The sequence below is a fragment of the Homo sapiens genome, chromosome 16 (genome assembly GCF_000001405.40).
Source record: "Homo sapiens chromosome 16, GRCh38.p14 Primary Assembly".
Taxonomy (NCBI): Eukaryota; Metazoa; Chordata; class Mammalia; order Primates; family Hominidae; genus Homo; species Homo sapiens.
In genome coordinates, this window is record NC_000016.10 from 12,136,503 (window position 1) to 12,152,505 (window position 16,003).

Here is a 16,003-nt window from a genome sequence, read left to right on the forward strand (position 1 = left end):
GAAATCCAAGGACAGGTCACTTTCTTCAAGCACTGTGGGACCCAGGTCCCCCAATGACACCAGTGCACTCTCCATCTTCCCTTGGCGCCGCCCTCTGCGCACTGGTGTCATGCTTAGGAAGGCCCTCTGCATAGAGCAAAGATGGCCTCTGGTAGCACTGAGACTCGCACAGGATCCAAAGGGAAGAGACTCTTTCCTAATGTCTGTATATAACATTTTAGGAAAGGTTTTTGTTGTTATTGTTGTTGTTGTTTTGAGACAGAGTCTCGCTCTGTCACCCAGGCTAGAGTGCAGTGGTGTGATCTCAGCTCACTGCAACCTCCACCTCCTGGGTTCAAGCAATTCTCCTGCTTCAGTCTCCTGAGTAGCTGGGATTACAGGTGCCCGCCATCACGCCTGGCTAATTTTTATATTTTTAGTAGAGATGGGGTTTCACCATGTTGGCCAGGCTGCTATTGAATTCCTGACCTCAAATGATCCACCTGCTTCAGCCTCCCAAAGTGCTGGTATTACAGGCGTGAGCCACGGTGCCCAGCCTAGGAAAGACTTTTTAGCGGGCATGTTATGGCTAAGAGTCAGCAGAGGGCCATGATTGACAGTCTTACCAGGTCCCCAAGGCAAGCAGCGGGCAGCAAAAGCATGTCTCTTGCATTTTTTCCTAGGATTGTTGGGACGGTTACATCAGCTGAGGCTCCTAAGCACTCAGCATAGCTCCAGGCCCTCAGTAAGCGCTCAGTGAATGTCACCTAATTTCTTCTTCTTGGCTGGTGTCTTGGCTGTAGGTGGCTGGGGATGCTGAGGCGAGGCCAGAATCTCTTGGGCCCTTTCCTTGTCCAAGCCTCCCCTGCAGTGAGCATCTTAGAGCCCTTGGCCCCTGGCCTTCACTTGACCTTCAGCTCCTCCTGGTGTTATTTTTCCAGCCCTGCCTGCCCAGTGTGTGTCCCTTTGTTTATTTGTCCCTGCTGGGCTGCTGAGCAGTGAGAACTTCCTTGACAGTGTTGTGCATGTGAGATTGAGAACTGTACTGTACATCCTGGAATGGCCTTGGGAGCCCTGCTCAGATCATGCTGTCCTGCACCCCAGGCGACCTTTATTGGCTTTCTATGAAGGCTTTAAATCTCACACTCCACCCTGAGGGTCAGCCTCTGCCTTCCTTTGCTTTTAAATCATTGGAGAAATATGAAGACTATGTCCTTTGTAAAAAAGGACAGTACATTTCTTCAGTGTCCATTCAAAGGCACTGATTATATTTTTATCACAAGAGTCAAATGGTGGGAATTGAGAAGGTCAGGCATACTGATTTGAATTATGGGGAATACTGGCTTGAATTCCAGCCCAGCTTGGGCTAGGGATGGCCTTTGGAATCAAGGGTGTGGGCCGTTTCATTGCTATCTCCCCAGTTCAGAACACCTGCTCTGGCGGGAAAAGCCAGTAGGCTTCATCCTGCTGCCAACTCTGGTAGTCGCTGCCTGGGATTCTGGCTGAGAAGGACTGGAGTGCTGTCAGGACTCAACAGAAAAGAGTGTTGTTATTGATTAGCAATGTCTGCCATGCCCATGGGAAGGGGATGTGGTAGCAAGCCTGCCAAGAATTTGCCATCCATATGCTAGCACTTCTGGAGTCTTGGAAACTGCTTGAGATGAGGTCCCCAGGCCAAGATGGCAGCATTGTACACGAGACTGAAAAAAAAAGAATTTGTCACTCTTTTTTTTTTTTTTTTTTTGAGGTGGAGTCTCACTCTGTCTCCCAGGCTGGAGTGCAGTGGTGCGATCTCGGCTCACTGCAACCTCCGCTTCCCAGGTTCAAGCAATTCTCCTGCCTCAGCCTCCTGAGGAGCTGGGACTACAGGCATGTGCCACCATGCCCAGCTCATTTGTATATTTTTAGTAGAGATGGGGTTTCACCATGTTGTCTAGGCTGGTCTCGAACTCCTGACCTCAAGTAATCTGCCTGCCTTGGCCTCCTAAAGTGCTGGGCTTATAGGCGTGAGCCACCATGCCCAACCTGTCACTGTTTTATGAAGCCCACATTATTATATTCTGTTTGGTAAAAGAAACATGCTTTGGAGGAATATCTTAAATTCATAATGTAAAATAAAACAAAACTTTGCTCTTAGGCTTAGTAGAGACCAGAAATAAGACCCAGTTTTTGTTACATGTCTTTCAAAAATTAACATTTGCTTTGTTACCTGATTTAGGAAGCCTGTGTTTATGGATGAGAGGAGGGGAGGAAGAGAGGGGTTCTTTCACTAGAAGAAGAGTTGCTGTAGTGGACATGGTATTATCACTAGGCTGCTGGCAAAAGGCACCAGAGCTGCCTCTTGACTTTCTAGGTATGTAGGTGAGTAAACTTTTTTTGTTCAAGAGAGTTTGAGTGGGGCTTTCTGTTTCTGACTACAGGAATACAGAAGGCTTTGTTGGTCAGGCACGGTGGCTCACGCCTGTAATCCCAACACTTTGGGAGGCCGAGGTAGGTGGATCACTGAGGTCAGGAGTTAGAGGCCAGCCTGGACAACCTGGTGAAACCTTGTCTCTACCAAAAATACAAAAATTAGCTGGGTGTTGTGGTGTGTACCTGTAATCCCAGCTACTCCAGAAGAATAAGAGAATCACTTGGGCCCAGGAGGCAGAGGCTGCGGTGAGCTGAGATCGGCCACTGTACTCCAGAGCCTGGGCGATAGAGCGAGACTCTAAAAAAAAAAAAAAAAAAAAAAAAAAAAAGGGAGGAAGGCTTTGTGCAGCATCTCCTGCCTGATCGTGAGACCGATCAGGTCCCTCTGAGATACGCTTCATGGGAGTAGGTATTCCTGAATAGCGTTATTACTGACAGTCACAGTCCGGGTTGTCATCCACGCACTGCCTGTCTTCCCTTTTAGACTGTGCGATCCATGAGGGCAGTGGCCCGTCCTTGCACCTAGCACAGTGCCTGGCATTGCTCAGTCATATTGGCTAAATGAGGGATTGAAGGGACCGTGGGGCCAGTGACTGTCACTTGGTATGAGTGTCACTGAGAAATGTCAATTCTTCCAGCACCTTAATTGTTCTCCTCCTGTTGGCATCTTCTCTTGGCACAAAGCAGCCAGTTAGGCTGGGCTTTAGACCTGTGGATGGTCGTTTGCCCCAAGATGTATTTTTAGTCATTTTCTGGGAATTGGGGCTTTCTGGAAGCCCCTCAGCCATTCATTGAAATCTTACCATATAGAGGCCAGGTGCAGTGGCTCACGCCTATAATCCCAGTCCTTTGGGAGGCCAAGGTGGGCAGATAGCTTGAGCCCAGGAGACCAGCCTGGGCAACACGGTGAGACCCTGTCTACACAAAAATTACAAAAATTAGCGGTGCGTGGTGGTGCATGCCTGTGGTCCCAGCTACTCAGGAGGCTGAGGTGGGAGAATCACCTGAGCCCAGGAGGTCAAGGCTGCAGTGAGCTGAGATTGTACCACTGTACTCCAGCCTGGGAGACAGAGAGATACCCTGTCTCAAAAAAAAAAAAAAAAAAAAAAAAGGAAAAGGAATCTTACCACTTAGAGTCAGTAGTAGGTGACAGAAACCCACCCTAAACTGCCTAAGAAAAAGAGCAGTTGATTCGCTCATGAAACTTAAACCTACAGGAGAAGAGCTAGCTTTTTGCTGGGCTGGATCAAAGCTCTCAGGGGGTATCACGCATATCATGCAGTCCCCATGACTTTCCATGTCTCCTCTCTCTTTCCCTCGGTCTTGGCTTCATTCTTAGGTAACTCTTCTCTTGTGGTGACAAGAGGGCCCCCAGGGGCCCCAGCCTAAATCCCATCAGTTTAACAATGCCAGTGGGAGGAGAAGACTTTTTTCCAGTAGCTCTGGAGAAGTCTTGGGATTCACTCTCTCATTTCCCGGGCCAGCTGTGTTACTTTTCCTGCCCAAGCCTGGGTCCCATTCCCCCTGGAGCTGGGGGTGGCTGGCTTTCCCTCACCTGAACTCCGTGGAGCAGGAACAAGGATGGAGGAGAGTTTGCTTAAAAGGAAAACCAGGATGTTCCTCCCATCAGATTGGGGGTGCATGCGGTGAGGTGCAGCCTGCAGATGTCCCTGACAGTGGGTTGCTTCCACAGAGGGCTTGTGACGCTTGGATTCTGTCCATTTTCCAGAGTGACACTACCGTGCTGTCACTCTTGTGCCAGCTGTCTTGCGCACCCTGTCTTGGTGGGTGAAATCTGGGCTCAGCCATTCTAAGCGGTAGCCCGAAGGTCTCTGTGCTGTGTTCTCCATTGTGCTTTTCCTTGGCTAGATATTTCGGTCTGATATAATCTGACATTATTAGCAAACCGCTGGTCCAGCTACTTTGGCATATTTGGACTTGATCTTAGAAGACTCAATATCTGTTTTAAATAAAAATATTTGGTAATGCCCCCTTCTGAAATGAAATTTATAGCGAATATAACCTACTTATACAAGTAATTTAAAAAATCAGTATAACACTCTAATATGAAAGAGAAATGAAAGGAATTTATAATACAAAATAGATTTCAGTACATATTGGTCTGGCGCAACTGTGCTAGAAAACATGCTGACGCTAAGTGCTTGCACCTCCTTCTCATGGATGAGTTTTGATTTTAAGAAGTTAAGAAGATCAGAAGTCATTCTTTAGAAGGAGTCCAGAAAAAGAGCAGAGAGTGGGTGAACCGTAAAGTAAACCTGGCATAGTCAGTATATATGAAAGGCATTCCTTTCTAGGCTCAGATTATGAGTAAGGTTTCCGCCTACATGAATGGCCACAGGACGATTGAAGTGTTGCAGGAAGTAGGCTGATCTTGGTTGTGTGGTACTGCCTTGGCCTTTCAGGACAGTTAGTATCCTCGGCTCTATGCTGTAAATGCTGGTAGTGCTAATGGAAAGGGGTCTTGATTCAGATCCCAAGAGAGGGTTGTTGGATCTTGTGCAAGAAAGAATTCAGGGCAAGTGCTTAAAGTGAAGGCAAGTTTATTAGAGAAAGTAAAGAAGCAAAAGAAGGGCTACTCCGCAGACAGAGCAGCGGCATGGACCAACTGACTTAGAGTACTTATGGTTATTTCTTGATTATATGCTAAACAAAAGGCAGATTATTCATGAGTTTTCCAGGCTCGGGGCAGGATTTCCTGGAAGTGACGGTTCCTCCCACTTTTAGACCATGTAGGATAACTTACGGACATTGCCGTGGCATTTGTAAACTGTCATGGTGCTGGTGGGAATGTCCTTAGCATGCTTATGCATTCTAATTAGCACATAATGAGCAGTGAGGACGACCAGAGGTCACTTTTATCACCATCTTGGTTTTGCTGGGTTTTGGCTGGCTTCCTTACAGCATCCTGTTTTATCGTCATGGTCTTTGTGACCTGTATCTAATGACACCAGTCCTCCTGACCTCCCATCTCATCCTGTGACTAGGAATGCTTCACTTCCTGGGAATGCAGCTCAGTGGGTCTCAGCCTCATTTTAACCAGCTCCTATTCCAGATGGAGCTGTTATGGTTCAAACACCTCCAACAATAGCACTCATCATCCTCGTGATGACCCAGACTGTCCCCACGGCCCCCAGTGAGAATCTCTGCTTTAGCTCTTTCCCAAGTGTTCTCTTTTTCAAGACCATTTACAAATGTATTGGAATTTTGTGTGCAAGGTCCCTTTCAGTTGCCCCGATCTTTTTGAGTCCTTGTCTAGAGACTGGATCCAGTCCACACTGAACCCACTGTTGAGCACCTGCTGCATATGTGACCCACTCTGGCTCTCCCACCTCTCGCCTCTCCTTGGGCATGAAGCTTGCTTCCCCAAGGTCGCTGGCTTTTTCCCTTGGCTGAGTCTCCTGAGCTGAGTGAGTTGTGCCCTTCGCCATTGTTAAGCACATGCTTGTCAGCAGCTGGCTGGTCTCATGATGTACCCCAGAGCAGCCAAGGAGCGTTGAGTGCATGGGGTGGGTGGGGCTGGTGTTGGGGGCTGGGGGTGAGTACAAGATACACATGTCAGTCAAGAGGGAATATGGCTTAGGAGGAGCTGTTTTCCTGCAGTTTGATGCTACTGATGAAATTCAGTCAAGATGAACGATTGATATTGTTTGTTTGTTTGTTTGTTTTTGAGACGGAGTTTTGTTCTTGTTGCCCAGGCTGGAGTGCAGTGGGGCGATCTCAGATCACTGCAACCTCTGCCTCCCGGGTTCAAGCGATTCTCCTGCTCAGCCTCCCAAGTAGCTGGGATTACAGGCGCCTGCCACCACGCCTGGCTAATTTTTTTGTATTTTTAGTAGAGACGGGGTTTCATGTTGACCAGGCTGATCTCAAACTCCTGACCTCAGGTGACCACTGCCTCGGCCTCCCAAAGTGCTGGGATTACAGACCTGAGCCACCGCTTCTGGCCGATATTGTTTATTTGTTGATTCACTCTTCAAACATTTACTGTTCCGTGTGAAGCTTAGTCAATCAGAGAGAAACACAATACAGCTGATTCTGTCCTGTGGGTGCTAGAAATTGAAGGGAAGGATATGCAAGCAAAGAAAATTTTTTTTTTTTTTGAGGCAGAGTTTCGCTCTTGTTGCCCAGGCTGGAGTCCAGTGGTGCGATCTCAGCTCATTGCAACCTCTGCCTCCTGGGTGCAAGCGATTCTCCTGCCTCAGCCTCCTGAGTACCTGGGATTACAGGCATGCGCCACCATGCCCGGCTAATTTTTATATTTTTAGTAGAGGTGGGTTTCTCCATGTTGGTCAGGCTGGTCTCGAACTCCCGACCTCAGGTGATCCGTCCACCTCGGCCTCCCAAAGTGCTGGGATTACAGGCATGAGCCACTGCGCCTGGCCGGCCACAAGCAAAGATTTTAACCTTCAGTCTGACAGCTCCAGGAGTTCCATTTTCGTGGGGCTACTCTGAGCAGGAAGTGTCGTATGGGGCAGGTGTGGACTTGAGTCCTGCTTCTCAGGGTTAGGGCAAGGGTGAGACAAGTGAGGCACCTACGCTGCTTAATTTAAGGCGGTGCTCGTCCTTAGTGTCATGCAAGGGCTTCCACCGCTCCTAGATGTGGGATCTGAGATGGCCATTTTACCTCTCAGGCTCCCTATCTAGAAAACCACGGTGGTAACAGACCCTCCCTTAGAGAGAGGATGAAGAGAGATTGCATGTCAAGGGTTAAGCACATTGAATACCCTGCGTAAGTACTGAGTAACAGACAGCCATGGTGATTACTGTTGGTTTCATGGAAGTAAATTATGCCTCCATTTCAAGCCTGCAAAAAGTCATTCTCTGCAGTTAATCTAGCCTGCTGTTGCTCAGATGTAACTAGCTTCCTAATAAAGAATTCTCTGGGTTGAAGAGCGAAATATGTTGCTTAAACTTTGCTGAACATCATAGTCACCTGGGGAGCTTTTAAAATGGTTATGTCCAGGCTGCCCTCCAGACCAATTAAATCAGAATCTCTGGAGCTGAGGCCCAGACTCTCAGGTAATTCCAGTGTGCAGTCAAGGTTGACAACTGGTGGCTTAGAGCAGAGTTTCTCAAACCTTAATGTACCCACGAAACACCCGGGGCTCAGGTTAGAGATTAAATTCTCATTGAGCAGGTCTGGAGTGGGGCCTGCTATCCTGGAGTTCTAATAAGCTCCCAGGTGACACTGATGCTGCTGGTTCCTAGACCACACATTTTAAGTAGCAAGGACTTAAGAGAGGATGCCAGCAATGATCTGAACGGATAAGCTCATTGAAAACCTTAGAAAGGCTGATTTTTAGCTCAGAACCAAGTTGGGAGCTAATTTTTTGTTGCTTGGCTGGTTTGAAAAATATAAAGAATAGTATGACCCACTGCAACAATTAGCACTACTAACATTTGTCATTTTTGTTTTAGATTTTATTTTTAAGTAAACCATAAACAACATGTAGGTTTGTGCTATGGTTAGAAGGTTGTCCCTCTAAAACTCATGTTGAAACTTAATTACCAAGCAACAGTATAAAAAGGTGGTACCACCTGAGAGGTGATTAGACCATGAGCGCTCCACCCCCCATGGAGGGGAGGTGCGATTCATGCTGTTATAAAAGGGCTAGCTGGGCTCCTTTTTCCGTTACTGCCTTCTGACCTATGATGACGCAGCAAAGGTCCTCGCCAGACGCCAGCCCCTTGATCGTGGACTTCCCAGCTTCCAGAACTGTGAGAAAAGAAATTTCTGTTCATTATAAATTACCCAGCCTCAGGTATTCGGTTATAGCAGCACAAAACAGACTGAGACGGCTTGCTTTGTGGGTATTTATTTTTTTGAGACGGAGTCTCGCTGTGTTACCCAGGCTGGACTGCAATGGCGCGATCTCTGCTCGCTGGAAGCTCCTCCTCCCGGATTCACACCATTCTCCTGCCTCAGCCTCCCCAGTAGCTGGGACTACAGGCGCCTGCCACCACACCCGGCAAAGTTTTTGTATTTTTAGTAGAGACGGGGTTTCACCGGGTTAGCCAGGATGGTCTCTATCTCCTGACCTCGTGATCCGCCCGCCTCGGCCTCCCAAAGTGCTGGGATTACAGGCGTGAGCCGCTGCGCCCGGCCTCTTTGTGGGTTTTTAAGGATCTGCCTCTGAGCTTTCAACGTGCGCCCACTGTTCTGCAACTTGGTTTGCTCACCCAATGTAAAGCTGAATGGTTTCAGATTAAGATATACACAAGTGGGATTCTACCATGGAATTCTGCCATACCTGAGATTTCTTGAGGGAACTCTTGTTTTCATACTTAAAAAAAAAAAAAAATTACCTTTAAATTGTGAAAGCAGCATAACAACTCAAAATGGGGAAAAGAGTCCCAAATCCCATGACTGTAGCGTGATAATTATTTCCATTCTTAGTCCACTTAAGTATATTTTTACATAGTTACACCACTGTTTGTTGTGTACATGCAATTTACATTCTGTTTATTTTATTCTGTTGCTATGTAGATTTCAAATTATGTTTAAATACAAGATTTTTTTTCCCTGTTCATAAATGTAATGTGTACGTTCGAATCCTTAAGGTTTTTCCCTTAAGTTAGGGTATTTTTCCCCCCTGCATATGAAAGTAATTTGCAAGTTAGAATTCTTAAGTCCGGGAATACCAGAAAAGTTTAAAGAGGAAAATCACCTGAACACAATTACCATCAATGAATTTATTATTTATGGGGCATTTTATTCCAGTTTATTTTTATGCATATATGTATTTTATATAATTCAGGTCATTCTGAATCTATAAATTGAGGGTCTACTTTGAAAAGTTTTTTATTACAATAATACAGTAAACAACAGACATTGTCTCATGTTATTCAGTTCCATGGATGTCACTTGATGGCTTTGTGGAGTTCTGTGTTTGGATATGTCCTTGTTTCTCACATCATTTTTCTTAACCATTTTTTTCCCTTGTAGGATTAGTATTTCTATGAACTTGTATTTTTATAAACCTATTCCGCCTTTTAAAAATCATTTCCTTCAGCTAGATTCCAAAAAGTGAAATTCCCATGTTAGAAGGTAAGCATGTTTGTAAAGGCTCTTGATCTTGTGTTACTAAAATCCTTTCCAAGAAAGCGGCCTCTCTTTTACCCCTACAGCGGTGAGTGAGAGAGCCTGACCAGCTGTGATTTGTAACGGCTGTGTAGCATTCCTTAGGGTACTTGGTGGTTTCCACCTCGATTTGCATTGCAGCTGCTTCCAGTGTGAGCTTATAGATAAAGGCTGCAGTGACTATCTCAGTATCTGTGTGTATTTCTCTGTCCGTTTCTTTCCTTAATGTGTATTTCCCCAAGTGGGATCTCAGGGCAAAGTATATGATTTTTTTTTTTTTTCTTTTTGAAGGCAGAGTGTTTCCCTCTTGCCCAGGCTAGAGTGCAGTGGCACAATCTCAGCTCACTGCAACCCCCACCTTCCAGGTTCAAGTGATTCTCCTGCCTCAGCCTCCCGAGTAGCTGGGATTATAGGCACGCACCATCATGCCCAGCTAATTTTTGTATTTTTAATAGAGATGGGGTTTTGCCATGTTGGCCAGGCTGGTCTCGAACTCTTGACCTCAAGTGATCCACCCGCCTTGGCCTCCCAAAGTGCTGAGATTACAGGTGTGAGCCACTGCACCCAGCCAAGAGATATGAATGTTTTCATGGCCCAAGTTCTTGGCGGCAGGCTGAGGTGGGAGGGCCTGCTCATCAGAAATGGAGCTAGTTCTACTACCATTCATCACTGCTTGGCTCCTGCATCTGTGGCTGTGGAAGGTGAAGGTATCCTTGGCATGAATGATTTCTCAGCTCGTTTTTCTTTTGGGATTAATGATGTGGGACTCCCAAAGGTGGGAGAATGGAAATGCCAAATGCTTTAATGTTGAAATTTAAAATAATGGGAGCACCTTCTCAAACATGACCAACAGTGGAAAGCCATATAAATTTCTTCATGAGCCTTTCAGAATTTTGTAACCAGTATAGGTTTCCTAGATAGTTTTTTAAAATATAAAATGGTAGAGACAGCATAATGGGAGAGGAACAGAAGCTTGGTGGCATCTCAGAGCAATCACGTACAAGGGAGAAAGCCATGTGCTTGTTTATTTTCTCTAATGCTTCTAGAATCCAATCAAAGACTCAGGTTTTGTTGACGAACTCAACTTTTTAGGGAGCAAGCAGCAAGGTATATTTGCATGAACATCTGTGTTTTGAAGCGCGTGCCCGCGTTGAATGGTTGAGCGTCAGAGTCATTAGTACCCAATGCCAGATGTTCCCTGAAAAATCTGCACCAAACACAGACTTGGGCAGTTCATCAAGATGTGAAAAACATGCAGCTGTTAAGGGAAAAGGGAGAAGGTTGTGTCTGAAATGTTGCTCCAGCCCATCGCTTTCCCCCATCAAAGGACAGAAGCAGGAGGAAATAAAAAAAAATTACCAAAACCCATAAATATGACAGAACTCTTATGAAAAGGTTACGGTAATTATTCACCGGGGAGGGAAATGCTTTTCCCATTCATTAATGCTTCATTTCTTGTCTTTTCTAATGAGAAGTAGGTAGAGGTGTCTAGAGAGAAAGAAAAATAGCAGAATGGTTTTGAGGGATACCAAAAGAGCCCAGGAAAGGTGAACAATGGGAAGAGAGGTGTGGCCACTAAGTAAATGCTGGTGTTTGAGTTACTTCCGAGAAATGGTTGGAATGAAACAGCTGGATGTAGCCGATCCAAGGAGCCGCAGCCCGTGGCTCAGTTTAACCCCCTTGACTTTCCCTCTTTGCCTCCGGAGAGGCAGAATTTGCAGCCTGATTATTCGTAGAAATAATTTTTCAAATCTTGCCTTTCCGGTACGGTTCACAAGGTGGCAATTTCCATGTCACTGAACATGAAGCCTGGGTCTTAAATATAGCCAGGATGTGAATGCCCTGCAGGCGGTGACAGTGGCAATGTGACATCACTGCCAAGCAACTTCTTTTTATTTTGGAGCCTGGGAGGGGAACAACAGGAAGCTGGGCAGAGGGGAGATATTCTTGGCAGCAGCAGCAGCGATGCAGTTTAAAGAGAGACAACTGTCAAGGCTAGTGACTGAGCAAACCAGAGTTCGCTGAATTCGTACTGGTGCCAAACATAGCCGAAGCAAAGATGTGTGAGACTCGTACCTGCTGCTGCTCAGCTCCAGCCACCAAGTAGCCATCATGAAAATGTTTTATTTTAAGCAGAAGAACTTTCCTTCAAATGCATTCTTACTTGGAAGCTCTCTGAGACCCGAGAGAGCTCCCTGAGAGCTGAGCCACACAGGTTAAAGTGGAGAGGTGGGGTCCTGGAATGCCACCCATGGAGCTACAAAATGCCCTTTGTTATCCATGTTGAAAAGGCCACTTAAAAATGGCGACCTAGCGTGGGATAGGCTTGCCTTTGAGCACATTCCCTCTTGTTTCTGGTAATGTGAGCTAAGGAGCTGTTAGGGCTGAACTAAATCCACAGATGGTCTCTGCCTCTCTTTCTGTATCTGGCAAGGCTCTTTCCCAAGTTTGTTAGGGAGTTGACGTTAGCTACATCTTAGTAGATCTTGTTTTTCTTGTTTTTCACTCATTTGTACCTCAGATTTTCTTGTCCAATCTCCCCCTCCCCTGCATGATTAGTCCCTCTTATTTTGCTTAACTTTTTCTTATTTCCATAGCATTTCTTGTTTTCTAATACATCACTTCTTAGATTCATGATTTATCACTGCCTTTTGGTCTTAAGTTTTAAGCCTCATGAGGGCAGGAGCCTTTGTCTTGTTTTATTTTATTTTATTTTTCTGAGGTGGCATCTCGCTCTTGTTGCCCAGGCTGGAGTACAATGGCACGATCTTGGCTCACCGCAACCTCCACCTCCCGGGTTCAAGTGATTCTGCTGCCTCAACCTCCTGAGTAGCTGGGATTACAGGCATGTGGCACCATGCTCAGCTAATTTTTTTTTGTATTTTTAGTAGAGACAGGGTTTCTCCATGTTTGTCAGGCTGGTCTCGAACTCCTGACCTCAGGTGATCCACCTGCCTCAGCCTCCCAAAGTGCTGGGATTACAGGTGTGAGCCACCACGCCCGGCCTGCCTTCGTCTCATTAGTTCACCGATAGATCTATTCCAAGGAGCCTGGACAATGCCTGGCACATAATAGAGCTCAGTGGATGTTTGTTGAATGAATAAATGAGCATTTGTCAGTTACTTCTAAGTTGTTGTTCTGCTGTGTTTGGCTTATGTTTCCAAGGTGATTTCATTTCATGGTCTAAAGTGGCTGCTGGAGCCCCAGCCCTGACACCTGTGTTCTTGGCAGCAGGAAGGGTAAAGCAGGAGAAGGGGAGAAAGTGTGTGCCAACTTCTCGTACAGAGGTTACCGCAAGTCACTCAAACACTTTCTCTTACTTCTCACTGGCCTGAACTTACTCTGCTAGGGATGCTGAGAAATGTGATTTCTGTTTTTTAGTGGAGCACATTGTCACTCCAAATAAAACAGAAGGCAAGTAGTGGTCTGTGCTTAGTGCCTGGTACATAGTAATCTCTCATGAGGAAAATTCACTTGTTTTGTTACCCGGGGTCATGAGGGAGTATATGCTCTGTTCTGTAGTCGTCAGTAGATCAGATTGTCCCTATAGTGATTAACAAATGACCTTTTGATTCACAAAGACCTTGACTCTAATCCCTGCAGTAAGCACTTGCTAGCATTGTGACCTTGGGCAAGTTACTGTACCTCTGTGAGCCTCCGTGTTTAAAAATCATGAAAATGGGAAAAATAATAGAACCTACCTCATGGGTATTGGTGAGGATTGAATTACATAATGCAGGTAAAGAAGTGTGGGGCTGCTGTCTGAGACACAGGAAGCTAATAAATGAAGGCAGTTCTATATCATCCTATGATCTTTACCAGCCTCAGTCAAGTATGGTTTCTAGGTGCTCAGGACTCAAGGATCACAGAGACATCCTTCTGGAAGTTCCCAGAGTGCACTCCAGTTAGAACAGTTTGTGCCAAGGGGGAGAGGCATGAAGGAAGATGCTGTGTCAAGGAAGCTTCAGGTTGCTCCCTGTGGCTGTATCCTGGAATTCTGGAGTCCAGAGTACGTTTGGGGAACGATTGAGGGTGGGGTTTCTGCAAGGGTGGCCTGGGAACAGATTCCCAAGGTCCCAATGAGGAGTTTGGCCTCGGTTCTGTGGATAGTGGGCAACTATTGAAGGCCTTTAAGGAGGGGGAGTAATTGATCAGATCTGTTCGAGGGACAGAGCCATAATCCCCTCCTGGGCATTGTGGAGAAGTGGATAGGAGGAGGCCAGGGTCGGAGGGGCTGGAAGTTCTTTGAGCTATTCAGGCGAGAGATGATGATGGTCAGATCCAAAGCAGGGTGAATGCTTCTAGAGAGAGAGACTGGGTAGATCAACCATGATAAGTATGATTCCAGTTGTTTGGTTCTTGGATTAGAGTCTGTCTTCCCGGTAGACTTTGCTACCAGGGGTTAAGGATGGATAAACAAGATGTGAATGAATTATTTGCCTAGCTCCTCAAGGTACGAGGCCAGACCTAACCCAGGCCTTCACCAGCACTGGCGTCTTCAGTGAGATTGTGCCGCCTTTGTTAACCTGAGTCATTGAGGAGCAGACCTTTTGAAGAGTGAGTCTGCATCACAGCTTTAACAACCTGAGCCCTGTGGCAGGTAATTGTGACCAGGAACAGCGTCTAATGAGCTAATTTTTGTCCAGTGATCACATCTTGAGATAGTGTGCGTGAGCTGCATCCCTTTGTAATTGCCACGGTCACAGTATCGGGAGGCCCCAAGTCCGTGAGGAGGAAGTTGTCTTTGGGTCACCAGCAAGGTCACAGCCTGTGGTTTGGGTTCATTTGTGCAGATTGGGGCTAATTTGTTTTTGCTCTTTTATCTGAATTGGAAATTGCTCAGCCAGGCAAGAGATACGGTCATTTAACAGACAGAAGCGCTCAGATGGAGGAGGGTATGAGGCCGGATAGGACCCCTGTTTTCCTCCAAAGTTCATGGTTACTGGGGATGTGACCTTGGCTTTCAGAGGACCTTCCCAGCAAAGATACCTTTCCCCTGTCTGCTGTATGGCCACAGAGTCAAAATGTTAATATGTTTGTTTCTGCTTTTTATTTAAAAATTTTTAAATTATGGAATTTTTCAAACATGAACAAAAATAGATGGAATAGTGTAACAGCCCCTGTGTACCCATCCCCCAGTCTTCGCAGTTACTCACTTGTTATTACTCTTGCTTTGCTGAGCCTGTTACACTCTCTGCTTTGTTTTTTGCTTAACAACTTACAGCAAGTCCTAGATGTTACATCAGCTATAAATACTTGCTTATATATGAATCTCTTACAGTAAGACAAAAAAATTATCACCACACACACACTATTACACAATAAAATTAGCAACAGTCTCTTAATATCTAAGTTCAAAGTTCCTTGATGGTCGTTTACAGTGGCTTTGTTTGAGTGGGTTCTGATTTTACTTTTCAAAGTGTTAAGTCAGCTCATGCCATTCTTATGTGTACAACACTCCACTGTACTCAGAAAAAAAAGAATATCCACCCTTCTTTCCCTGGCCTGCATGTTCTGCGTGATCTGACCGGGGCCTGCCTGCTTCCTGTTAAGCATCTTCACTGTTTGTTCTGCCCGGGACTCGTACCCCACAGATCTTCAGATCTTTGCAGGACGGTTTCTTTTCAATTCCTCTGAAGAGAGGGTGGTCCTCCACCTCAGTCATTTCCCCTCCTCATTATGGTTTTACATTTTCTCACACAACCTACTCTTCTACATTTATTTGTGTTTTTTTGTTTGTTTGTTTGTTTTGTTTTTTGAGACAGAGCCTCACTCTGACACCCAGGCTGGAGTGCAGTGGCACGATCTCGTCTCACTGCAACCTCTGCCTCCCGGGTTCAAGTGATTCTCCTGCCTCAGCCTCCTGTGTAGCTGGGATTACAGGTGCACATCACCATGCCTGGCCAATTTTTGTATTTTTAGTAGAGATGAAGTTTTGCCTGTTGGCCAGACTAGTCTGAAACTCCTGACCTCAGGTGATCCTGAGGCCGAGGCAGGCAGATTGCTTGAGCTCAGGAGTTTGAGACCAGCCTGGGCAATGTGGTGAAACCGCATCTCTACAAAAAATATAAAGAAATTAGCTAGGTGTGGTGGTATGCGCCTGTAGTCACGGCTACTTTGGAGGCTGAGGTGGGAAGATTGCTTGGGCCCGCGAGGTGAAGGTTGCAGTAAGCTGAGACTGTGCCGTTGCACTCCAGCCTGGGCAGCAAAGCAAGACCCTATCTTAAAAAAAAAATGCATGCAATAATACACATGAAAAGATTCACATCGTAGAATCTTTGGTTTCTGTGATACTTTTCTGTTAAGAGGTGGTACCAAGCACATGTTGGAATTATTACCTCCCACATCCAGACCAGGTAACTGGTTTACAGATTGGGAAGATGGGACACCTGCAGATGGTCATTTCAAGGTTTGGCCTCAGATGGGCATGTGGGGAGCAGGAGACAGTGTGGCTTCATGGAAACTGCCCTGGGCTTTGCATTGGGGTCTTTGGAAACCCTGCCCTATCTT

General features: G+C 46.1%; 1 protein-coding gene across 21 annotated transcripts in view, besides 5 other annotated features; it reads left to right on the top strand.

Moving 5' to 3' along the window:
• The window catches only part of SNX29 (sorting nexin 29), a 597,554-nt gene that overhangs the window by 159,769 nt on the left and 421,782 nt on the right, over positions 1-16,003 (top strand). The gene's annotated exons all lie outside the window — the stretch shown is intronic.
• Positions 6,230-6,524: an enhancer, noted in NCBI's record as "tiled region #3169; HepG2 Activating DNase matched - State 8:EnhW". NCBI's record gives its function as "activates a minimal TATA promoter and a strong SV40 promoter by Sharpr-MPRA in HepG2 cells {active_cell/tissue: HepG2}" and the evidence as "EXISTENCE:reporter gene assay evidence [ECO:0000049][PMID:27701403]".
• Positions 6,230-6,767: a biological region, named in NCBI's record as "Sharpr-MPRA regulatory region 3169".
• Positions 6,267-6,767: an enhancer, noted in NCBI's record as "H3K4me1 hESC enhancer chr16:12236626-12237126 (GRCh37/hg19 assembly coordinates)". NCBI's record gives its function as "activates a minimal SCP1, AML or CMV promoter by ChIP-STARR-seq in primed H9 embryonic stem cells {active_cell/tissue: H9 hESC(primed)}" and the evidence as "EXISTENCE:reporter gene assay evidence [ECO:0000049][PMID:30033119]".
• Positions 11,483-12,040: an enhancer, noted in NCBI's record as "OCT4-NANOG-H3K27ac hESC enhancer chr16:12241842-12242399 (GRCh37/hg19 assembly coordinates)". NCBI's record gives its function as "activates a minimal SCP1, AML or CMV promoter by ChIP-STARR-seq in primed H9 embryonic stem cells {active_cell/tissue: H9 hESC(primed)}" and the evidence as "EXISTENCE:reporter gene assay evidence [ECO:0000049][PMID:30033119]".
• Positions 11,630-11,924: an enhancer, noted in NCBI's record as "tiled region #497; HepG2 Activating non-DNase unmatched - State 23:Low". NCBI's record gives its function as "activates a minimal TATA promoter and a strong SV40 promoter by Sharpr-MPRA in HepG2 cells {active_cell/tissue: HepG2}" and the evidence as "EXISTENCE:reporter gene assay evidence [ECO:0000049][PMID:27701403]".